The sequence below is a fragment of the Homo sapiens genome, chromosome 22 (genome assembly GCF_000001405.40).
Source record: "Homo sapiens chromosome 22, GRCh38.p14 Primary Assembly".
Lineage (NCBI taxonomy): Eukaryota > Metazoa > Chordata > Mammalia > Primates > Hominidae > Homo > Homo sapiens.
Window position 1 is genome coordinate 24,126,302 of NC_000022.11, and position 23,539 is coordinate 24,149,840.

The window sequence follows — 23,539 nt, forward strand, 5'->3', positions numbered from 1 at the left end:
TTCGAGGTGTGATTGTGACTATTTAGACAGGGAGATTGGGAAGACCTGTCTAAGCAAGGACCTGAATCAAGTGAGGGAGCCCTGATGGCCACGAGGATATTGGGGAAGAGGCTTCCAGATGGACACACACCCAAAACACATGCCTAGAGACAGAAACAGTCTTGGTGTGACTAGAATCTGCTGGAAGCTGGTGTGACTAGAATCTGCTGGAAGCTGGTGTGACTAGAATCTGCTGGAAGCTGGTGTGACTAGAATCTGCTGGAAGCTGGTGTGACTAGAATCTGCTGGAAGCTGGTGTGACTAGATGGGCAAGGAGGAGAGAGGAAGAAGATGAGGTCAGAGGCTTTCAGGGCAAGTTTTGGCAGGGGAGGATTTGAGGGGACATCATCCTGAATTAGGTTAAAGCTGTCGCAAGGGCTGGGCATGGTGGCTCCCGCCTGTAATCCCAGCTCTTTGGGAGGCCAAGGCGGGCAAATCACTTGAGGTCAGGAGTTTGAGACCAGCCTGGCCAACATGGCAAAACCCCGTCTCAACTAAAAGTACAAAACTTAGCCTGGTGTGGTGGTGTGTGCCTGAAATCCCAGCTACTCAGTAGGCTAAGGAAGGAGAATCGCTTGAACCTGGGAGGCAGAGGTTGCAGTGAGCCAAGGTCGTGCCACTGCCCTCCAGCCTGGGTAACACAGCAAGACTCTGTCTCAAAAAAAAAAAAAAAAGCTAAACTAAAAAAACAAAAAACTGTCGCAAGGTTGTGGAAGAAGACAGGCTCCATGTGGCCTGAGTGTGTCAGAGACACTACTGGGCTGATATGTAAAGAGTGAGTTGGGGGTGGCCTGTCAGAGGCCTAGCAGGACACAGATGGCCCCATCTAACAGGAAAGTCTGAAGAGCACTTAATGAAGGAGCAACTTACACAGGCCCAGGCAGAGAGTAGGAATTCACAAGGGAGGAGGAGTGTGGTACCCTGGACCAGCCGCGGTGCCTGTCGGGGCTGGCCATTGATGGCTGCCCCTCATCAACTCCACAGGGAGGGAATTCAAGGAGTGAGTGCTCTGATCAAATTCCCTCAGTCAAACCCACCCAGTAGTCAGAGGCCCAGGAGCTTGAGAATGTGTCCACACAGGTGGAGAAGAAGTCAGTGTGGCAGCAGAGATGGGAGGAGGCCACAGCAGGATATCAGGAAGTAGTCTGATTCTAGATGGATTCAGACAGAAGAGCTGAATCAATGGATCAGACAACATGGGAAACCTAGAGGACATAATACTAAGTGAAATAGCCAGTCACAAAAGGCAAATACTGAATGATTCCACTTAGATGAGGTATGACGAGTAGCAGCCTGGCAGCGCTAGCCCAATCAGACCCCATTTCTTTGGCCCAGGACCTGTGGGGTGTGAAGGAAAGAGAAAAGTCAAGGTCAATCCACAGATAGTCATTCATCCTGCTTCTGTTCTGATTCTCTAATGTTGTGAATCAGGTGAGAAAGTTTGCACATCTATCATCTTCAACAACTGTATTTAACTTTTCATATATATATATATATGAGTGATCTAGAACAGTTGTATATATATGAGTATATATGAATAACGTAGAACAGAGTTCCCTCCTGAGGCACTATTGACATTTGGGACCAAATAATTCTCTGTTGTGGGGATGTTGTGTGTGCACTGCAGGACTTTCAGCAATATCCCTGGTCTCTACCCACTAGATACCAGTAGCCTTCCTCTAGCTGTGATGACCAAAGATGTTTCCAGATATTGCCAGATGCCTCCTTGGGGACAGACCCCCACCCCCATTGAGAACTATTGCCATGAGTCTCCCTCCCCAGGCAACTCTCAGGAATGTTGGGTGCATTTCCTTTCCATCTTCTGCCTACTTTCTTTACACACAAACAGACACACACTCACAGAAATGTATGCAAATGTGGTTCTGCTTTTTTTTGCTTCTCGTGTACTCATAAACTCTTTGATTGCATGACTTCTAATGCCTACACAGGATTCTCGGGGCGGGGGGAGGGTGGGCACAGCTTTTACACTAACTCCTTAATATTTGGCTTTATCCAAACAGACATTCTAATTATAATTTTTCATGATTAGAAGTATCAGGAATGGTTGGCTTTAAGTCTACCAGGTCTAGCTATGGGGATATTCATGTCCTAGGTTGCTGGGGTGAGTTTGCAGTAGGTATGTGCCCGCAGCTTATGGGTGTCCCCAGCAGCCCACTGAGTCTCCCATCAGCAGGTAGCCACACACTCCTCTTCCTCTGGCCTATAGAACACTACTCCAAGGGCTCCCAGCCAATTCCCCTTCACACAGGGCAAGAGGTCCTGGGTGGCTCCAAAGGCTGCAGAAGGTCTTCCCTGGCCAAGCCCTCCACCACTCCTGTTTCCTCCATTTGTCATGGAACCCGTGAGCACCATCTGTGCCCCCGTGCCAATGCCTGAGGTATGGCTAGGTGAAGGGCTGAACACAGCTGAGGTCCATAGCCACCTTCCTGGCAGCCCTGTGGAGCCCTACTGGTCTTGCAGATAGGCTGGCACTGCTCCAGGATCCCCACCAGACAGTTTGCACACCTGGAGTCACCATGTAGGAGTTGTAGAGCCTGACCTCTCTGAGCCCCACCATCTGTCCCTTGTGGATTCGTGAGGCAGGAGGTAGTTAAGTGGTGAGTGGATCATCATCATTGGTTGTGGCAGGGAGACAGCCCCTGGGGGCAGAGACCCTGGGTGACACAGGCAGAGCACATCCTCCAGGCCACCATACAATAGTGACAGATGGCACCTGGGATCAGGTCTGCCTTACGGCTTTGCACATCTTGGGACAGCAGGTGTCCCCAGAGGGTAGTAGTTGTTTTCCCATCTCCAGCTGTCAACAGGCTTTGCCAAGCCCCCACTACATGCAGGGCCCATGGAAGGCTACAGGTAGGGATGCAAGCCACCTCACCCCAAGCTTTTGCTTCCTGTGTGAAGAGAAAGGGAGCGTGGGGAGTTCCAGGAGCTATGACAGTCAGCCCAATGTGTGCTGTAGTGAAACGATTGCTGGCAGAGTAGTGCGAGTTAGTGGGCGGGGGCTGGCATTGAAATTTAGCCTCAAGGGCATGGACTGTTGCTTAGCTGGCCCCAGGGAGCATAGTGCTGGCACCCTGGCCTTGGGAAGGACCCAAGCAGCCCCACTCACGCCCCATGGCTGTTGCCCTCCTCCCTCAACCTGACATACGCTTCCTTCCCATTTTATGAAAGGTCAGACTGCTCAGCTTCTTTTCATTCTTCCTGTGGGCAACTATTGCACCCTTTTCTGTGAGCTTCAAACTAGACTTGTCCTGGAGGAGCCATCAGTGAAGTCAGACTGTGTCCCTGCCCTTATAGGGCTGATAGAGAAGTAGGGGCAGACAGCAGACCCATCTGCGAGTCAGTGGAAAGGCTATTTAAGGTGGCCATGGGGCTGTGGGAATAGTATTCCAGGGGAGCATCAGGGGGAAAGGTGAGGTGGCACCAGGTAGAGAGACCTCCAGGGACCAAGGTGGGAACAAGTGTGGCTGGAGGGCTGTTCACAAAGAGGGGTTGGAGGGTATGGGGGAGATGAGCCAGCGGGTAGGCAGGTAGACTGAGGCATGGAGCTGACTCTTGCCCTGAGGCAGGTGCAGCCCAAAGGCCTTTAAGCAGAGGAGTTAGATGTCCCCTCTGCCTTCTGCTGTGAAGCAGGGATGGTCCAGATAGTAGGCAAGGGAGGACATAAGGTGCCTGTATGCTTCTACGATTCTTTGCCCTACTTCTCTTCAGGACCTTACAGCCCTCCATCTGCCCTCTGTCACAGGAGGGTCTATGTGCACAAGCCTCAGGGCCAATGCAGCCAAGGAAAATGTGCCGTTATCTGGCAAGTGGCTCCATGGGCCTCCTCCCATTCTCAGAGGTGCCTATGAGCCAGCAGTGTGACAGGTTGCATGAGGCCTGAGAGAGGGCTGGCCATGATGGCTGGCTCAGTGTTCAGCACACAGCACATGCCCAGGCGGATTTGTAAAGTAACTTGCCCACCTATAGTGGATAGGTCAGGGGGCAGGGGAAGAGCCCAGGCCTCAGAGTCCTTGCAGCCTGGACCAGAGTCCAGGGATGGTTCTGCCACTTCCTGGCTCTGGGACCTTGGGCAAGCTCTTGAATTTCTCTGAGCCTCTATTTCCTCATTGGTAATTCTGTGAGGTGAGGGGTTATGGCACTGTGCTCAACCCAGGAGGCATCATGTTGCCTTACCTCACTACACCACGAAGCTACAGGGCAGGTTCTATGCTGCAGGTGCACCGTGCAAGTCAGATCCCCTTCCCCCTTGCAGAGGTTCAGCAAGGGCCCAATACAGTCTCTGCCCCCTCCCCTACCCCACCAGCCTGGCACCCATGATTCCCCAGACAGGTCTCAGCCCTCCCTGTCAGCACCTATCTGGGGCCTCAGGCATGAATCAGCTAAGGGCCCCCATAAGCTGTCTGGACACTTTGTGCCTTAGCATTGATCAGCTCTCTTTCTCTGGTGGGCCTGGGAGACAGCTGGAGAAACACACTCTCCACCAGTACACAGTAGCCAGGTCTGCAGGAAGCTAATTTATAATCCAGGTTGGGTTTGACAGGCTAGTGCTTTCTGCACCCTTTGCCCCAGAAACCTCTCCCACTGCCTTCTCCCTTTCTGCTCCAATCTGGGGGACAAACTGGCTTGGTGCAGGTGGAGTGGTGGAAAACAAACCAGAGAGGAATGTCCATTCCCGTCCCATGGCCACAGGGCCTGCAACAAGGCAGCTGGGCAGGGAAGCAGAGTCTATGTGACTCCATCCTGGCCTCTGTGCTTTCTCTTGTGTCCCCAGCCAGAAGGAAGTCTTTGTCGAGGCTTTACTTTCTTGGTATTCTTAGGAAAATGATGGCTACTGGAGATGCTTCTTCAAGTCAGGGTCTCACATCTCCTCCTGCTGGCCTCAAGTGCTGCCACTTAAAGAGGTCTTCCGGACACTTTTCCAAGTTCCGGAGGAGCCCCAGAAGCAGCTCTGGGGTCATGACTCTTGGGTAACTTTTCTCAGGCCAGGCCTGTGCCCTGGGTCATGAAGTCACAGCTGGAGGAGTGGTCTGCCACAGCATTGAGGCCAGGGCCATAGAGGAGAGCAAGGGTATACACAGGCTCAGTCCCCTAGGCAGCCTGCCTCTGCTCTGGGCCCTGCAGCCCATGGTCTTAGCACTTACTCCCTGCCTCATAGCACCCTGGCTCCCCACTGGCCTTATGGGCAGCCACATCTGATCCCCTCCACCTCCTTGGCTAGGCCCTGACTGCCCCAGGTGTCTGGGCACTTGCTTCAGTGAGTCCCTTATCCCCATAACAGCTTTGTGCAAACCACAGCCCAGGTATCACCTTCTCCCAGAGCCTCCCTGACCTTCTCAGACTGGGTAAAAGGGAGGTCCCCTTTGCAGCCTACCTCCATGGTCAGATGTGCTCAACTGTGGTATTAGAAGTGCAGGTGATGGACCAGGCACGGTGGCTCGCGCCTGTAATTCCAACACTTTGGGAGGCCAAGGCGGGCAGATCACTTGACGTCAGGAGTTCGAGACCAGCCTGGGCAACGTGGTGAAACCCCATCTCTACTAAAAATACAAAAATTAGCCAGGCATGGTGGCAGGCACCTGTAGTCCCAGCTACTCAGGAGGCTGAAGCAGGAGAATCACTTGAATCACTTGGAGGTTTCAGTGAGCTGAGAGCACACCACTATACTCCACCCTGGGTTACGGAGTGACACTCTGTCTCCAAAAAAAAAAAAAAAAAATACAGTGTCCTACATCACCTTCTTGAGTCCACCTATGGCTGATTAGACCAGGATGGACACCTGCCTGGGCTGAGCCTCTCAGATCTCCTTTGGGAAATACTTTGAACCAAGTGTCGCAGTGGGTCATGGCTGAGCACTGATGCAGGTTGTGAGCCCCTTTCTTGGGCTTCCTGAGACCTGAGTCTTCCTCTTGGAGCCCTGCTCTACTCACTAATCTTTGAGCTAATCTTTGGTTTTATTCCTTTTAATGAAGCATACCTGAAGCCCCACCCCTTTCTCCCCACCCTGTACTCAGTTTCTCTGCAGCTGACCCTCCCTCCTTGGACCTGCTGTGGAGCAGGGGCATGTGGCCTGGGATAGGGTGGGGTGGAGTGCAGAGGTGGGAAGCATTATGTGAGAACTTGGAACCAGCCTCAAGAGGCTTCTGAATGAGTGGCCCGGGAAGCAGGCTTTCCAAAGCCTGGCTGCCAGGCATTGCTGGGGACGTTTTTCTGTTTGTTTTGCTTTGTTATTTTTTTGTTTTTTGAGACGGAGTCTCACTCTGTCACCCAGGCTGGAGTGCAGTGGCATAATCTCGGCTCACTGCAACCTCCACCTCCCAGGTTCAAGTGATTCTCCTGCCTCAGCCTGTTGAGTAGCTGGGATTAGAGGCGTGTGCCACCATGCCAGGCTAATTCTTGTATTTTTAGTAGAGATGGGGCTTCTCCATGTTGGTCAGGCTGGTCTCGAACTCCCGATCTCAGGTGATCCACCCACCTTGGCCTCCCAAAGTGCTGGGATTACAGGCGTGAGCCACCGCGCCCAGCTGCTGGGGACACTTGAAAGTAAACTACAGGTTGTTCCTCCTAGGGTGCTAGAGCTCAGAAGTTGAAGGTCAGGACTGGGTATTTTACTGTTTTCTGTGAGTTTGAGCAAAGTGGCCTCTGTTCTCAGTTGGGAGCCTGCCTCCAGGGTCTGAGGACCCTTTTGCTGCCCAGGTTGTTCCCTCCTCTGCCTGTCTCTCCTTCCCCTCAGGGTGGGGCAGGCAGGGGGTCCCTCAGCAGACGGGAAGCTCACAGTGAATGGAGCCTCCTACATACAGCCACAGGGCCCTCCCTGCCCAGTGTTCAGGAGCAGCCCTCAGTCCCTACAGCATCCCGGTGGGGGCAGAAGGGTAGCCCTCATAGGAGCAAAGGCTTAGAGGCAGGCTAGCATGGGCCCCACAGCCAGCGAGTCAGGGAGCTGGAGTTGCACTTTTGCCTCATGATGATTAGGGGAATGGTTCAGTATGCTCAGCCTGGCCAGCAGTGGGCAGAATGGGACCAGGTGGGACAAGCTTGCAGGCCAAGAAGTGAGAGGGCTTTCGGAGCAGCTGGAGTGCAAGGTGATGAAGGCCTGCGCCCAGCGCTGGGAAAGGCGAGCAAGGGACCTGAGCGGGAGGGGAGGACAGATTGGCTGGGACAGTGGGTGCCGTGGAAAGGGTAGAGGGTCTGGCATTGTGCAGTCCCAGGTGCCAAGCCCAGCTCTGCCCATTGCCAGCCCTTTTCCTTTAGGACAGCATGGTCCTGAGGTGGAGTGAGATGGCCAGTGCAAGGTGCTTGGCTGCTGTGGTGAAGACCAGAGAGGGAGGAGTGGCTGGCCAGGCAGCTGGTGGGAAGGCCTGCTCTATGGGCCAGTGAGAAGGCCCCAGAGAAGGCAGAGGCAGCCAGGCCCACACTCACCCTCTTACCCTACACCATTCTCCCCTGGGCCTGGATTCCACCAAGAGGCTCTTTGCCCAGAGATCACTGACCTAAGCACTGTGGCCAGAGTCCAGCCCTCCGAGCCTAAAGCAGCTGTACCACTGGCCGTGAATAAGGAACGCTACTGATTCCTGACAAATAAGTCAGGGCTGCTATTTGGGCTTGTGGGGGCCCCCTGACAGAAGGCGGGTACTGGGTACATGTGGCAGGTTTGTAGGGTTGGTCAGGCCAGGGGTCTGTCAGTCTCCACCTTGAGGAGTCAAAGACTACACTCCTAAACCAGTGGTGCTGGGCCAGAGATCAGTTCTGAAAATGCATCCCACAGCCTGATGATCAAAGCCCATGGCCAGAGCAGCCTGGAGCTGTGGAATCGATGTCTGCAGGAACTGCTGCTCATCGTGGTTTGCCATGCAGCCAGGAAGGAGGGGACCGCCTGCCTTCCCTGTGGGCGCCCTGAGCAGCCCACACACTCACTTTCAACCTACTTCTTGTTTCCCCAGAACCTCCAGTGGGCCCGCGACGTGTTGCTAGGCAGCAGTATCCCGTGGCAACAACTGCAGCACATGCCGGCACAGGGGCTCTTCTGCGAGAGGAACAAGACCAATTTCTTCAACGTGAGTACTTTGCCTTGTTGATTTCCAAGGCTGTTTGTTGCCACTGCTTTTCACTGAAGGCGCATGAATTGACCCCCTAGGTGGGTGTTCCCAGGGCCTCAAGTTTGCGGCATCCTCAGAGGGCAGGCAGGGTGGTACAGTCGAGAGTGAGCCAGACTCCGGTGTGGGGCTGTGATTGCTGAGCGACTTCTGGCAAGTCACTGCCCCCTCCTGTGGGGAGATGCATGGATGAGCTTGGTATGTTCTCCAAAGCCCCAGGTATTCTGGGGCCACACAGGCAGTGATGACAGGGGTACAGGCCCAGGTTTCCTCCTCCTGCTGGAGCAGCTCCTGTGGTCTCAAGCACGTAGGAGATTCTGACTGCTTAAAAAACAAGTGTGGGCCGGGCGCGGTGGCTCACGCCTGTAGTCCCAGCACTTTTGGAGGCCGAGGCGGGCAGATCATCTGAGGTCAGGAGTTCGAGACCAGCCTGGCCAACATGGCAAAACCCCATCTTTACTAAATATACAAAAATTAGCTGGGCGTGGTGGCGGGCGCCATAATCCCAGCTACTCAGGAAGCTGAGGCAGGAGAATTGCTTGAGCCCGGGAGGTGGAGGTTGCGGTGAGCCGAGATCATGCCATTGCACTCCAGCCTGGGGGACCAGAGCAAGACTCTGTCTCAAACAAACAAACAAACAAAAAAACAAATGTGGCTTAGGCACAGTGGCTCACGCCTGTAATCCCAGCACTTTGGGAGGCCAAGGCGGGCAGATCATCTGAGGTCAGGAGTTCAAGACCAGCCTGGCCAACATGGTGAAACCCTGTCTCTACTAAAATACAAAAATTAGCTGGGCATGGTGGCAGGCACCTGTAATCCCAGCTACTCAGGAAGCTGAGGCAGGAGAATTGCTTGAACCCAGGAGGTGGAGGTTGCAGTGAGCCGAGATGGTGCCATTGCACTCCAGCCGGGGAGACAGAGTGAGACTCCCTCTTAAAAAAAAAAAGAGTGTGACCAATATTGGGCTTTTAGTGAACTTCAGCCCTGATATTGCGTGTCAGGTGGAGACTTACTCCTTGAGCAGGGCAGGGCCAATCACCTAGGCCTGCCTGCCTCTCATCCCAAAGGCCTACATATGCTCCTCTTGATACCCCACCTGGATCTACCCTCCCCCATTTCCTCTGTCCTGCATGGAGACAGCTGGCCCCTCACTCCCCTCTACCTCCAAGTCCTTACCTATCCACCGCCCCTCCCAGCATGGCCAGCTCCCAGCTGGATGACTTTGGCAGGTCATACACCCCCTCTGAGCTTTGGTTTCTTCTGTATTTTCCTTGATTCCCTCTTACTCATGGAGAAACTGAAGGGCAGAGGTGGCCTGAACAGGAGCTGAGGAGAGCAGGTTTCAGGTCTGGAGGGGTGTAACAGGCCAATTCTCAGGGTACGTGGGCAGGCAGGTCCCCGCTGAGAGCCAGCCAGCTGGTGGGAGTGTCTGGATCCATGGCTCCTCCTCTCCCAGGGTGTGGTCTTCTGGGGTCAGAGTAGGAGCTTGAGATCCTGAAAGCCCTGCATCTGCCCACCCTCTCTGTTTTGGTATTTTATAGACAAGTAGGGGTGTTATTGGTAATCAATCTACATGATACCAAGGGATTTGCTGCAAAAGAGAGGTGCTCTCTTATCTGCATGCCCAGGCCACAGCCACCTCCCCACAGCAGAAACTGTTTCTTGTCTCATGTGTGTCCTTCTAGAGGGCATCTGCCCATTTACAAGCTAGTGCACATAGATGCGCATAAAAGGCAAAAGTGCACACACTTCTGCCCCTTGTATTTTTTCGCTAAACAATATCTCTAACAGTATCTCTTGGAGATACTGTTAGAACCCACCCATTCTTTTTGATAGCTACTGCATAGTAGTCCCAACATAGGGATGTCCCACAGTTTACCTAGCCATCCCTCCTTTTTTTTTTTTTTTTTTTTTTTGAGACAGAGTCTTGCTCTGTCACCCAGGCTTGAGTGCAGTGGCGTAATCTTGGGTCACTGCAACCTCCGCCTCCTGGGTTCAAGCAATTCTGCTTCAGCCTCACAAGTAGCTGGGACTACGGGTCCACACTGCCACGCCCAGCTAATTTTTGTATTTTTTTTTTTTTTTTTTTTTTTTAGAGACAAGGTTTCACCATGTTGGCCAGGATGGTCTCGAACTCCTGGCCTCAAGTGATCCGCCCTCCTTGGCCTCCCAAAGTGCTGGGATTACAGGCGTGAGTCACTGTGCCCGGCCTCCCATCCCTTATTGATGGACACTTAGATTAGTTTGTCTTTTTTACTACAAACAATACATCACACACACACACGCACACACACACACACACACACACACACAGAAAGGCTCAGTGCTTCACCTATGAAGCACTGCCTTGACTGTGACATTACGTTAATTTTAACTTCTATGCAAATTTCTTGTCCTTCATGTTCATTTTCTAGTGGATTATTGGTCCTTTTCCTATTGATTAATAAGAACTCTTTATATATCAATGAAGTGAGCCCTTTGTCAGTGTTTTGAAAATCTGTTTTTCTGCAGTTGATAGGCGAGTTGGAGCTAGACAAGTTGCTTAATTTCCCTGTCCTGGGTTCCTCACCTTGAAAGTGGGCTTCTATTACCTGGCTTGAAGAGTAACTGTAGGAATCAAGTTAGATACCGGGGTAATATTTCTAACACAGGATCTGGCACATGGCAGGTACTTAAGAAAATAGTTTCCCTCCCTCCCTCTCTTCCTCTCTCCTTTTGGTGCTTTGCCCTTAAAGCCTGTGCAGTGATATTGGAAGGAAGGAGCCAACCTCCATGTCTTCCTCACAGGGGAAGACCTCAGCCTTTCTAATGATAAAGCTGGGGAAGCCGGCCCCTCAGATGCCTGCCCCGCAGAGCACATCCAAGTTGGCAGCCACATGCTCCAGGCCCCTTTCCCACTGGGCTCACTCCCTGCACCTCCTCCTTAGTTTCTGGGACCTTCCAAAATGAGTCTTGCAGAAAAGCAGTCTGAGGTTGTGTGCCTGTGGGAGGGAAGGCTGGTACAGCCTCATGTAGGCCTGGCACATAGGCAATGCCATCCCTGCACCTGGAAGCCCCTGAAGATCAGGGCCACCCCAGCCCAGACTGGGTGTTTTGGTGGTTTTGCCACTTCCAGGACAGTTGTTTGTTCCTCCATGCTTCCCAGTGACCTGCTGCTTTTACCATCGTTTGGGGCCTCTGTCCTCCTCTGCTTTCTTACCTCTTCTCTTTAGAGATAGGTTTGGGCTACTTGTGCTCCTTGAGCTATGCCTAGTGTCCAGTATGTCAAGAAATGCTGGGCAGTTCCTGAATGCTTTCAGCAAATGAGTCTATCTGGCATATTCCCAAGTCTGGGGAAACTGCATACTAACGTGTTTATGAAGGAGCATTTAGGGCAGCCCTTGGCTGACTCTGCTGGGATGGGGCCATGTCTCTGGTAGATAGCCTTTAGGCTGGGATGAGCAGACTGGCTCACCTCTCTTCTAGCCTGCACTGGGGTTTACTGCTTAGTCTAGTGGGAAGCAAAGGCAGTAGGTGGGTGCTGGCCCTTGAGAGGAGATAAAGGGAGGTTGAGACTGGGGACATCAGCACCCTAATCCCTATCCCTCTCAACCCACTGTCCTGGGCCATCCACACTGCCCAGCCTTTGTGTTGCTCAGCCTGTCATCCTTAGAGCTTGGGTGGGGGGCACGTGCCTTCTGTTATTTTTTAATGATAATTTTTGAAAATTGTGAGAGTTGTAGTTTAGGAAAAATTCAAACCCCTTTTCCTTTGTTCTCACACCAACACAGCAGTCAACACAAACAGAAGACTTCTGTGACCAAATGGGGGGCAGATTTAAGAGACAGCATCGTGCTGTGTCACCTAGGCCCTTGGGGGCCCTACCTCAGCCTGCCAGATAGCTGGGACTACAGACATGCACCACCATGCCCAGCCAATTTTTAAGTTTTTTATAGAGACAGAGTCTTGCTATATTGCCCAGGCTCAATTTCAACACCTGGAGATGGTGTCAGATCCCACAGGTTGAGGGCTTAGTCCTCAAAACATCCCCCACATCAGTCACTAGTCACAAGTCTGGGCCTCCGAAATGTCTAACTGACTGGCTTCAAGTTGATGTTCCTACAACCCCCTTTGGGTTTAATTTGCCGAAGTGGCTCACAGAACTCAGAGAAACACATTTCCCAGTTTATTATAAGGGATGTTATAGGAGGGTACAGGGAAGGCTCTATCCTCCTGTAATTGTTTCTCTCCAGGCATACCACCCACCAGGAGCTTCCATGTATTTAGTTATCTGGAAGCTCAGGAACCTGTCCTCTTTGGCCTTTTATGGAGACTTCACAGGCATGATTGAAACATGGACAACTATGTCAAAATGTTATTGGACAAAAAGATTATGATCTAAACCCAACAAGGCCTGTCTGTTCAGATTCTTCTTGCCCTCTCTGCAGCATTCCTTCCTCCAGGATGTGGGGCAGGACTCTTATCTGGAATGAAGGTCTTATGGCCCACAATCAAATTAGAGTCCTGTCTTGGGCAAGTGGAAAGAAGGGCAGGAGAAGGTCAGAAAAAGAGAGATTCTCTTTACAGTAACAAGGGCTATGGGAGTTAGGAGCCAGCAACCATGGATGAACAAACATATATATATCTTGTCATATATATCATAATATCACAGTGATATAAGACCACATTTTCACTGCCAACAGTTCAGACACATAGAGTCCACATACCTTTGTTTGCCCATCGCCAGGCACTGTGCCCTTCTCAGAGGTGCTTCTGTGATCAGCCAAGCTGTTATCTTTTTCTGGGTCTGTGTGTACAAAAACAGATGTGTCGTGCGGCTTTTTAAAAAGTGCGTGTGTGGCTGGGTGCAGTGGCTCACGCCTGTAATCCCAGCACTTTGGTAGGCAGAGGTGGGTGGACCACCTGAGGTCAGAAGTTCGAGACCAGCCTGGCGAAACCCCATCTCTACTAAAAATACAAAAATTAGCCGGGCGTGGTGGTGCATGCCTGTAGTCCCAGCTAGTCAGGAGGCTGAGGCAGAAGAATCCCTTCAACTCAGGAGGCGGAGGTTGTAGTGAGCTGAGATTGCACCACTGCGCTCCAGCCTGGGCGACAGAGCAAGACTCCGTGTCAAAAAAAAAAAAAAAGTGTGCGTGTGTGCTTTTTAGCGACTTTGCTTTTTCCATGACACCAAGTCTTGGAGAAGTTTCCATGTGAGAAGGTCAGGTCATTTTGCTCTCTGCAGCTGCTGCCCAGTCTCCTTGGGTGGACACATGTATGGGCCCAGTGTCTGCTCTCACAGTCTCCTGGTTTGTGCGTCTTTGTGCTGTTGCTGTGTTCCTAAGTCCCCTGGCCTGGCCCAGAGGAGATGCCCACATGAATATTTGTGGATTAATTTCATTCATCCCTTTCCCCTCAGCAGTTGGTCTCCAAGCTCATTCTCCTGGATCAGCCAGTGCTGGATGTTGTAGGAGTCAGGCAAAGCCTTGGCCCTGGCCACAGGATGCTCAAGGCTGACAGTAGAGCACTGCCTGCATGTCTCCATGCGGGGCCTTCATAACGTGCTACAGGGCATGTAGGAGGGACAGGGAGCTGGGCTCTCCCATGCAGGGTGGGGTGCTGCTCAGCCAGAAAGGGGGCAGGAGAGGAAGGCTAGGATTAGAGGCACCCTCGGGGGAACTCCTTAGGCTGGGCTGCTGACAGAACCTTCCTGGGGAGTTTAAGGGACCAGAGAATGGGATGGGTGCTAAGGATCGAGTGAGTGGGACCTTGGGTTCCTATGTCAGCTTTGCTGACAGGAACTCCTTGCAAATGGGAACTGCCCCATGACTGGCTGGCCCCCACAGCAGCACAGATGGACGTGTAGCAGGGCTCAGCACTGTGGTTGAACATGAGGAGGAGTGAAGATGGCATGTCTTGGGTCCCACTGTTCCACACACCGTCCTCCCTGAGCAGAGGGGACCAGGAAAGCAGGCACCAAGCTAGGTGGTAGGTGCTGCTGGGGTGGCTACCCACACCATGGAGGCTGAGGGTTTGTGTCTGGGTGCCCAGAAGCTTCTGGGGCTCCCCCCGCAGGCATACACACCTCTGGCAGGCAAGCCTGCATGGGCCAGAGCCAGGCTGCTTTGTCCAGGGTGAACTTCTCTCCCTGTCTTGTAGTTGATTCAGAAACGTTCCCATAGTAACCAAACCAGACAGAGATGGTTCTCCTTCCTTCCCCAAAATGTTTGCTTATTTTAGCAGGCAGGGTTTTTTCTTGTTTCAACCCAGTTTCCAGCCTCTGAAAGAAGCAAAGGGAGCTCAGGGCCAGGCTGGTACTGCCTCCTGCTTCTGAGGCCGTGTGGGGCAGGCAGCAATGGTGGCCTGAGTGTGAGTGGAAGGGAGGTGCCGGCCTACTGTGGCCTCCCTGAGTGTGGTGTCTCCCCTAAAGCTGCTCCTGCCGCTGCTCAGGTGGGCAGCCCCCAGGTCCCAAGATCACTGAGAAGAGCACAGATTTTGGGCACAGGCAGGCACAGCTCCCAGCCACTCTACCCCTTACTCAGCTTGGGCTACCCGTAAGCAGAGTGGTCCCGACAGGTGGATGAAAGCTATCATCACACACTTGGCATGCCACACAAATCACCCTTAGGTCTGGAGATGGGCCTGCATGGAGGCCTTGGGGCTTATCTGTGGATCCTAGAGGCCAGTGCTAGGATGTGACTGAAGCACGGAGCAGGAGGAGCTCCAACTCACACCTGGCTGGGGCCTCCATAAGCTCAAGGCCCTGCCCTGGCTTGAATGGAGCAGCCTGAGATGTGGATGGTGGCCTTAGCCGTCACACCCACCACACAGGTCTCTTTCTGTGAGGCCTGGCCCAGTCTTTGGTGCCTGTGGATGGTGGTCAAACTTCCTGTTCTTGGTCACTGCTGCATAGCACTCCACTGTCTGGTTGTCCTGGTGGTCTACCTCCCCTCTTCCTAGCGGATAGGTGGCTTTTGGTTTTCCACTATTAGAAAAAGAATGCTGCTATCTCTGATCTCCTTTCTCACCTGTGCCGGGGTCTCCAGGACAAATGCCTGGAAGTTGGAGGCCAGGACACAGGTCCCCACAGCCAAGCGCTTCCACACCTTGCCAGGTGTTTTGGCAGAGCCAGGCCAGATGCCCTCCCACCAGCCCTTGCCCCACCCCCTCCCAGGACTCAGAACCACAGATGACTTTCATTTTGGCCTATCTGTGGAGTGTGCCAAAAAACCCCAGGTGGTTTCAGTGTGTGTCTCCCATGTGAGTGGGGAGGCTGAGCCTCTTCCCACACCGGTAGCCAGTCCCCTTTGTCTACCCAGGGTCTGCCATGTTCTCTCCTACTTGGCGGCTGCCACAGGTGGTTCTGTTTGTCCTGACTGTGTTGCTTAAACTGATGGGAGGTACAGTCATCATGAGCTGTCTTTGTTTCTTGAAAACATTTATGCCCTGTGCTGTCCCAGCCCTGGAGCCTGAGTGCTCACTGAAGGCCTTGATGTGGTCTGGTAGGGAGGAAGGGCCTCCCCACCCAATTTCTGGTACCCCATACCTGCCAGAGTTGGGGGGAAGGAGAGAAAGTCTCCAAAGCCCAGGGTACTGTCCTTCTCAGCAAGAATCAGTCATGCCCATTGTACTTTAATTCGCCACCAGTTGGTTGTGTAACCTTGGAGGAACCCCCTCCCTGCACCCAGTGAGCAGATGTGAGGTATATGTTAGGGGTGGGTACAGTGGACCCACCTTCCAGAGCAGGTCTCAGCCAGTGCCTCTCTCCTCAGAGAGAGCCAGTAGTCCAGAAGGAGGCTGTTGGAGCCCAGCAGACCTGGACACCCCAAGGCAGGGACCTCATCTAGGACAGCATTGCCATTGCCCTCCCAAAACCTCTCCTAGCTCAGCAGGCAGGGAGTGCCTAGTGACTGAATTCCTCTCATCCTCAAGAATTCCCTAGGACGAATGACTGGGAATTAGCAGCCCCAGAGCAAGGGGAACAGGTATATCCTGACTCAGTCACCCAGGAACCCAGCTGTGGCCAGGCCCCAAGGTCTGTGCCTGAGACATCTGTCTCCTGTTGCAGGGCCAGACCTGACATCACCTCCCTGACCAGCCCCAGCCTGACTTGCCCCTTCTCTCTCTCCATCCCTCTGGCTTGTAAGAGAGGTACCTTCCCTGGTGGGCCTGTGGTCAGCCCCTGCCCCCAGGCGCCAGCCCCAGGTTCAGAGCCTGTTGCAGGCAGACATCAGTGAAGACCAAAGCACAACCTAGGGAAGAAGTGTTGGTCTCCACTCAATTCCTGGTGCCCCACACCACTCCAGGCTGCAAGCAGATCTGAGTTGCCTCCCAGCAGGTAAACAAGCCCCAGGACTGTCCACACAGGGTGTTCCTGCCTACCTTCTCTCATCAGGGCCAGGGAACATGGGGATAGGAAGAGCTGGTTTGTAATAGCCTCACTCCTTCCCCCAAGTCAGTCCCATATCACCTTCTCCCCTCTCAGGACCAGTTGTGACCAATTTTCATGCCACCGCTGCTTGTCCCTTTGCTCACACTTCAAGGAGCATAATACCTGCTGTGTGCCAGGCCCTGGGCCAGCTGTGTGGTCCAAAAGGGCTCAGGTCCACAGGCCAGCCTGCAAGCCTGGATTAGTAGTCACCTTTCAAAGAGGTGCTAGGAAGTAAAGTGACTTGGCCATGGTCCTATCACTAGTCTGTGCTGGAGGAGGGGTGTGTACTTCACTATGTATAGTGTGGAAGCCCATGCGTTGTGACTGGTAGCCTCAAGTCAGGGGCCCCCTGGTTCCTACACCGGGATTGGCCCAGCTGTCCTAGACAGGAGTGTTATCTGAATGGCCCATTGGCTGGATGGGGAGGATGGAATTAGGTAGCAGTGGGCAGGGGGATGTGGGCATCTAGCCCTACCATAGGAGGTGAGGCTGGGATTCCAGACTGAGAGGGAACCAGTGCTAGGCTGTGGCATCAAGCAGGGATTCCCTTGGGTTGCGGGACTACACTGTCTGCTAGCCTGAGCCCCCACCCCCTTTTGGTGTGGCTCCAACTGGCTGGCTAGCTGGGTTGTACCATTTTTCCTTGGTAGCCTACAGGCGTGTCCTGGGCTGGGGCTCTTGAGGCTGAGAGCAGTGACAATGGAGGATGCTACCCTGCCTGCAGTGCCACAGCAGCTGGGCCTGGCTGTGCCTGGCCTTGTTGGGGGCCTGGCAGAGAGTAGCGGCCCATAGTAGCAGTGGCAGGACCAGCACTTATTGGGGGCTTGATCGGGGGGTGCCTCCTTAGGTGACATAGCATGTCCGTGAGGCTTAGGTACTATTATCATCCTCATTGTACAGACGGGGAAGTTGTTACCAATAGGCTCTGCAGGCTGGGAAAACCAAAGCCCTTTTCTACCCTCTGCCCCCTGGGCCATCAGAGGCCTCGCTCTTCCCCTTGGACAGCAGTGCTTATGGCTGTTTTCAGGCCCTGGGCCAGCTGTGTGGTCAAAAGGGGCTCAGGTCAGTGCCACTCCCCAACTGGTTGGCTGCTCTGGGTGCCGGGAGAGAATGCTGCCAAAGGGATGCTTGTCAAGTGCTTGTCTTCTGCAGCAGCAATTGCCAGTATTCCTGACACAGTGGGCCAGGGCCCCATGGGAGCCTGGTGCTATTGTGTCCCTTTGAACAAGGTGCAGAAGCCTAGGGAATAATGGCCCAAGATCACAAGCTAGCAAGTGGCCAGGCTACCATTCAAGGTCTGTCTGAATCCAAGGCCTGCACTCTCAGCCACTATGTCGTTGGAAATTCAGAGGTCACATCTAAGCTCTCTGTTCCAGCAGTGATGTCTGCTGTGGACATGTGATGGGGAGGGACAGCAAGAGTGTCAGACTGTGTCCTTGCTCCTCCTTGCCTCTCCAGGAGGTGGACTCTCTTGTCCCTCCCTTGCTTTCACCATCAGAGAGCAGGGCTGAGACCTCCTGGTGGTGAAGCATTCTGCCCAGCCCTTGGTCACCTGATGGTGCATGTCATCTTCCACTAAGCCATTAGAGAGGCCCACTCTCAAGGGGTGCCCAGGTCCCTAGGGGAGATGATCAGGTAAACAGAGCACATGATCCAGCAGCCATGGAACCCAGAGCTCACAGTGTCTTTTGAGAAGGCCTGTGGTAGATGGGAAGATCATGGGCACAGGGGCAGCTGGGCTGCACTGGCCCCAATTTGTAGAAACCACAAGTAAATCTCCTCCACATTTGACTTCCCTCTTTGGGGCCTCACCTGGCACTCTGTTGCCCCTCCTGCCCACCTCTCCCTCAAGGCCATCCTAGGCCTGTTCAGACTGTTGGTGGAGGCCATTTCCAGTCAGGGCTTTCCTGCCAGGTGTTGCTGTGCTCCGTGTTGCTGTGCTCAATGTGACTGCACAGCCCAGCCTTCCCCAAGCTTATCTCCAGCCCTGCCCAGGCTAGTGTTGGATCCTGCCTGAGCCCCTATGGGAGTCACTTTTGCACATGTGCTTTTGGAGACAGGCCTGCCCCTCCTGGAGCACAGGCCCCATCACCTAAGTGAGCAGACAGTGTGAGAATGACAGGAGAGTGACGTTAGAGGACATGCCTGTGAAGGACAGAACAGGGCCAGGCTTCTGAGCAGAAGATGCAGCATGAGGCACAGTGTGGGGCACAGACAGTGCCACATGCACATCAGGGAGGGCCTCGCAGAGTTGCATGCTATACGCAGTGGTGGGTGGCCAGCTGGCCACCACTGGACCCTGTTTTCCTGGGCCAGGTGCAGTTTGGTCTTTCTCACAAAGAAAGGGGGACTGAATTGAGGAGCGTCTTCCAGGTGTTGCACTAGCTGCCCTGAATGCACTGGAGGGGCTGGGCTGGGGCTGGGGCTGGGGCAGAGGCAGCAGGAGCACTGTCAACCCACCATTCCTCAGGGCTCCAAAGTGCTGTGTTTGGCACTTCTACATACAATGGCTTGTTGAATTCTCATAATTCATGAGATGTAGGTAGTGCCATTGTCCCTGCCTCGCAAATTAAGAAAACGAGACAGGCACACAGCAAGTTTGCACCTGAGCCAGGATTTAGGTGTTCTGAGCCAGGACCCAGACTGCCTGTGGACTGATGGGATGAGGGGAAGCGGAGTACAAGAGGGCCGAGGAGGTGGGCTTGGGGGACCTGGTGCTCAGCCCTGGCACTCTGATGCTCAGATCTGTCGTCCCGTGTGTCTCTGCCTGGTGTGCCAGGCATGTGGCCCTGGGTCTGCGTGCATGCATATGTCTGTCCTCCAATGGACAGGGCGCTAGGATGCCTCTGAGGGCAAGCAGTGTCCTCAGTGGAGGATGGACGCAACACAGTAGAGATGCCACTCAAGGCCGTGCTAGGATGGAAGGGTGCTGCTTATTATCCCACTCTTTCCCCAAGGGTAGTCTCAGCTCCTAATGCGCAATGTCATCTGGTTTTCAGAAGAAATTGGGATTGATTGTGGCTTTTCCTGGGGTATCCCCATGATAACAAGTCACCAGTGGCTGTAGACATCCCACCCTGGCTGGTGAGGAAATGGGCTGGGCTTCTGCCTCTGGCTCTGCCCTTGGCTGTGACCTAGGCAGGTCATCTGGCCTCTCTGAGTACCTCCTCTATCACTAAGATTAACTGAGGTATGCAGCAGCCCTTAGGACTGTCAGGGGATCAAAGGAAACCCAGTCACATAACAGTGGGAATCATAGGACAGAAAAGAAAGAAAAAAGTTTAAATTGAGGAAATAAGAGCTACTTGGCTGTAGTAGGAATTGCTGCACTAGCACTATTTTTAGCATTGCTGAGATGATCTATGGGCCAGTTGCACAAGCAGAGTAAACAAAAGAAACACTTCAAGTTCTCCAGGGAAAAAAGGTCCTGTTTTTAAGAGTCTTAAAAGAGTTAGCAAACTTGTGTGGATTCTAAATGTATCCCCGAGCTCTCCTTCCTTCCCACATCCTGGGCTCTGCAAGCTTTGTGGAACTTCACAGCTTCCGGCTTGCACAGCCCCCGTGTTCAGCCTGGAGCAGGTCTGAAGGCCGCCCTGTCTGGGGAGGGGCAAGCCTGAGAGGCAGCAGGTGGAGAGGGGGTGCTTCCTGCCTGAGAAGCTACAGTGTGTCCTCACCAGTAGGAGAGGTCAGTAGGAGGAAGTACACACAGAGGAGTGGCAGGGACAAGGCCACAGGTTACCCAGGCCCCTGCCCTGACAGGACCACAGCAAAAGCCAGGCCACCTGCATTCACAGTTAGAATTTTTAAAAAAATAATTAAATAAATAAAATGTAAGCAGCCTTTAGACCATCGTTCCTGGTATAAATTATTTTCTGGCTATCCGGAGACAGTTTTCATCTCCAGATGTGGATTCAAAATTCTGGCAAAGCCAGGATGCTTGGGCAGAGGAAGATGATCTTGTTAAGCCCTTAGCATTCATGATCCCATGGAATCCCCATGACCATCCTGCTAGGAGGTGCAGAATCTCTGCAGACAGCGCACTCATGACTTGCCTAAGGTCATATAGCCAGTAAGTGGCAGAGCCCAGACTGGGAACCCATGTCCCTTGGGCCAGCCTCCATGCCGGAGTTTCTGCCCAGCCTATCAGAAGCAGCTGCTATTTTTTCCCTAGTGGGATGCCAGTGTTTGTATATACATCCACCACCTCAGCCCACAGCCCCCTCTGCCCCCAGCTGCCCTGGGTATTCAGTCAGGAGCTCGCTGTTTAACATTCCTGAATAGAGGAGCATTTTTCAGCATGAACTTCATTTCCCACCACAAGTTATTTTTCAGAGGTTTGTTCTTGGAATGTATCCCAGCAGCACCTCCCTCCCTCCCTCTCTCCCTGCCTCCCTCCCTCCGTCCCTGCCTCCCTCCCTCCCTCCCTGCCTCCCTGCCTCTCTGCCTCCCTCCCTCCCTCCCTCCTCTCCTCCCTCCCTCCCTGCCTCCCTCCCTCCCTGCTTCCCTGCCTCCCTCCCTCCGTTCCTCCCTTCCTTCCTTCCCTCCACCTCTCCTTCCCTCCTCTTTCTTTTCTTTTCTTTCTTTCTTTCTTTTTTTTTTGAGACAGGGCTTCACTGTGTCATCCAGGCTGAAGTGCAGTGGCTTGCGTGATCACAGCTCACTAAATCTCGACCTCCCATGCTCAAGTGATCCTGCTGCCCTAGCCTCCCAAGTAGCTGGGGCTGCAGATGTGCCCCACCACACCCAGCGCACATCTTTTTTTGAGGGACAGGTCTCATTATGTTGCCCAGGATGGTGTCAAACTCCTGGGCTCAAGCAATACTTCTTCCTTAGCCTCCCAAAGTGCTGGGATTACAGGCATGAGCCAGTGTGCCTGGCCCTAGCTGCATCTTTCTCAGGCCTGTGTGTGGCGGTCTCAGCTTGGGCAGAGCTTCCTGTTCTACATGCTTTGTCCTCGTAGGACACTGCTCTGGGCCCAGGTGCACTGTCTGCAGGGGGAGGTACACTTGCAAGCGGAGGTGTGGGACCTTCAGCAAGGCTTTGGAAAGTAGACTGAGCAGGTGGCCCACTCACATTCAGGAAAGCCTGGGCAAAGGCAGAGTCTGGGTGTGAGCAGGCAGGAAGAGGCTGAGGGAGGGCTGTGGCCACAAGAAGCTGCAGGACCTGGCAGGGGCAGGGACTACAAGCACCCCATCTTGGGACCAAAAGGAGGAGGGGGTTGCTGTTAGAAGTTTCCCTCTTGAGAGAAGACTTGGCAGTGCCACCACTACACTGTCCTCTCAGCCCACAGAGCACTGGGTGCTCACTCCACATGGGTATTGCCCGTGGAAGTCCAAGCAAGGGGCCCAGGTGGTACCTCCCATGGCCCAGAGATGGACAATGTTTGAGCTGTTCCAATAGAAGAGTGTGTCTTTATGGCAGGGCCATATGGATTCATTCTCATGGCAGCCAAGAGCCTGGGGCTACCCCAGACTCTCTAAGGGCCCTGGCTGACTTTTGAGCCCCAGAGTTAAAGGGCACAAGCAGTCCTGAGGGCTCCCATCCTTTGCTGTGCATGTCATTAGGGTTGCCCTCTGTGGCAGGAGCCTCAGTAGGTGTGGCTGGGACTTGTAGACAGCAGGAGGGGCTCTGAAGACCATAGCACCTGGTCGAAGTCCAGCATAATCCTCTGATCTTCCCTGTTTGCCTGCTCCCAGTGTGGACACTGCCCTGTCCTCAGAATTTAGTCCTGCTGTGACTTCCTGGTCTTGGCCCCTTTTACCTTAGTTTCTCCATTTCCAAAGGTGGGCCAGTTGGATGATATCAGTGGTTTTCCAGTCCTTTTTCCAAAAGAAGCCTTTCTGTCATGCCCAAATGGAAAACAGATGAAAGGGCAGCTGTTCCAGCAGAGGCAGGAAGGGCCAGGCCCCACCCGCTCAGGCTGCACCCCCCTGCAGCCTAGGCTCCTGAGCAGGCCGGGTGTGAGCCCAGCGGAGGCTGTGGGCTCTCCTCTGCCCTGCCACCAGCGGCCATCCCAGAGAAGTCAACCCTTAGGTCAGTGGCCAGCCTCCTTTCTGGGGTGGCTTCAGTCTGGAAATTTGCCCTCTTTCCCTTTCTCTTCCCTTTTTCCTCCCTCTGCTTTCCCCCAACCCCACACACAACTTTTTTCCTATTTGGCAAGTTTGACCAAGTTGCATCTGAGAGAGCTGCATTGGGATTGAAATCCAAAAGCAGAGCTTGGTGCCTGATTACCATGATGACAGGCTGCAGCTGACAAGTGCTCCTGGGGACCAAGAGGAACAGACCAAGGACTCCCTCACACATGGGCCTCTGTGATGGGTGTCCTATACCCACCTGTGAGCCCGGTGAGGATCACCCCAGCCAGCCTCAGGCTCCAATCCTGACCTGAGTGGCTTTGAGCAAGCTGGTCAGTGTTTGTCAGCCTCAGTTTCTTTATCTGCAAAGTGGGGTTGACCAGACCCACCTCTTAGAGTTATGGGGAGGGTCACGTGAGAACACTCTGGGAAAGCATGTTACTACCATGGGCCCCCAGGGCCTGCCCGGCACACAACACTGCCATTGTGTCCAGGGGACTTGTGATAGGGAAAAGGACCATGGATAAAGGCAGACATGCTACAGATAGGCTCACTGAGGTCAGTGGGGGAGAAGGTGAGATGGATCAGGGCCAATTGAGAAGGCCACATGAAGGAATCGTAGGAATTTGATTTATTCAAAATACAAGTTTTGAAATGCTGATCTCTAAATATGAGTAAATAGTCTAGAATTAAGTTAGGTCAGAGCAGGTAGAGCCTCATGGCTCTTCCCCGTGGACTCCACCCCATCACTGGGCACATCACTGGAGAACTATAGAGTTCTCCAAACTCCCTTGCTGCATAGGGATATTGAGTCATTTGTTTAGACTGCTCAGAGCCTGCTATTGGGAACCCCAGGCTGGAGAAAGCACACAGCAAGAACTGGCCACCATAGGTCCAGCTCT

General features: G+C 53.4%; 1 protein-coding gene across 48 annotated transcripts in view, besides 6 other annotated features; it reads left to right on the forward strand.

Annotated features, from left to right (window-relative positions):
• The window catches only part of CABIN1 (calcineurin binding protein 1), a 167,325-nt gene that overhangs the window by 114,998 nt on the left and 28,788 nt on the right, over positions 1-23,539 (forward strand). For all 48 annotated transcript variants that reach the window (XM_047441218.1, XM_047441219.1, XM_047441226.1 and 45 more), the window contains one exon: positions 8,001-8,114. In XM_047441218.1, the coding sequence (XP_047297174.1) occupies positions 8,001-8,114 (114 nt within the window). The remainder of the gene's footprint in view (positions 1-8,000; positions 8,115-23,539) is intronic.
• Positions 4,749-5,250: an enhancer, noted in NCBI's record as "H3K27ac hESC enhancer chr22:24527017-24527518 (GRCh37/hg19 assembly coordinates)". NCBI's record gives its function as "activates a minimal SCP1, AML or CMV promoter by ChIP-STARR-seq in naive H9 embryonic stem cells {active_cell/tissue: H9 hESC(naive)}" and the evidence as "EXISTENCE:reporter gene assay evidence [ECO:0000049][PMID:30033119]".
• Positions 17,850-18,584: an enhancer, noted in NCBI's record as "H3K27ac-H3K4me1 hESC enhancer chr22:24540118-24540852 (GRCh37/hg19 assembly coordinates)". NCBI's record gives its function as "activates a minimal SCP1, AML or CMV promoter by ChIP-STARR-seq in primed H9 embryonic stem cells {active_cell/tissue: H9 hESC(primed)}" and the evidence as "EXISTENCE:reporter gene assay evidence [ECO:0000049][PMID:30033119]".
• Positions 18,585-19,320: an enhancer, noted in NCBI's record as "H3K27ac-H3K4me1 hESC enhancer chr22:24540853-24541588 (GRCh37/hg19 assembly coordinates)". NCBI's record gives its function as "activates a minimal SCP1, AML or CMV promoter by ChIP-STARR-seq in primed H9 embryonic stem cells {active_cell/tissue: H9 hESC(primed)}" and the evidence as "EXISTENCE:reporter gene assay evidence [ECO:0000049][PMID:30033119]".
• Positions 19,937-20,156: an enhancer, noted in NCBI's record as "active region_18760". NCBI's record gives its function as "activates an Ori minimal core promoter by ATAC-STARR-seq in GM12878 lymphoblastoid cells {active_cell/tissue: GM12878}" and the evidence as "EXISTENCE:reporter gene assay evidence [ECO:0000049][PMID:35858748]".
• Positions 19,937-20,315: a biological region, named in NCBI's record as "Sharpr-MPRA regulatory region 1007".
• Positions 20,021-20,315: an enhancer, noted in NCBI's record as "tiled region #1007; HepG2 Activating DNase unmatched - State 8:EnhW". NCBI's record gives its function as "activates a minimal TATA promoter and a strong SV40 promoter by Sharpr-MPRA in HepG2 cells {active_cell/tissue: HepG2}" and the evidence as "EXISTENCE:reporter gene assay evidence [ECO:0000049][PMID:27701403]".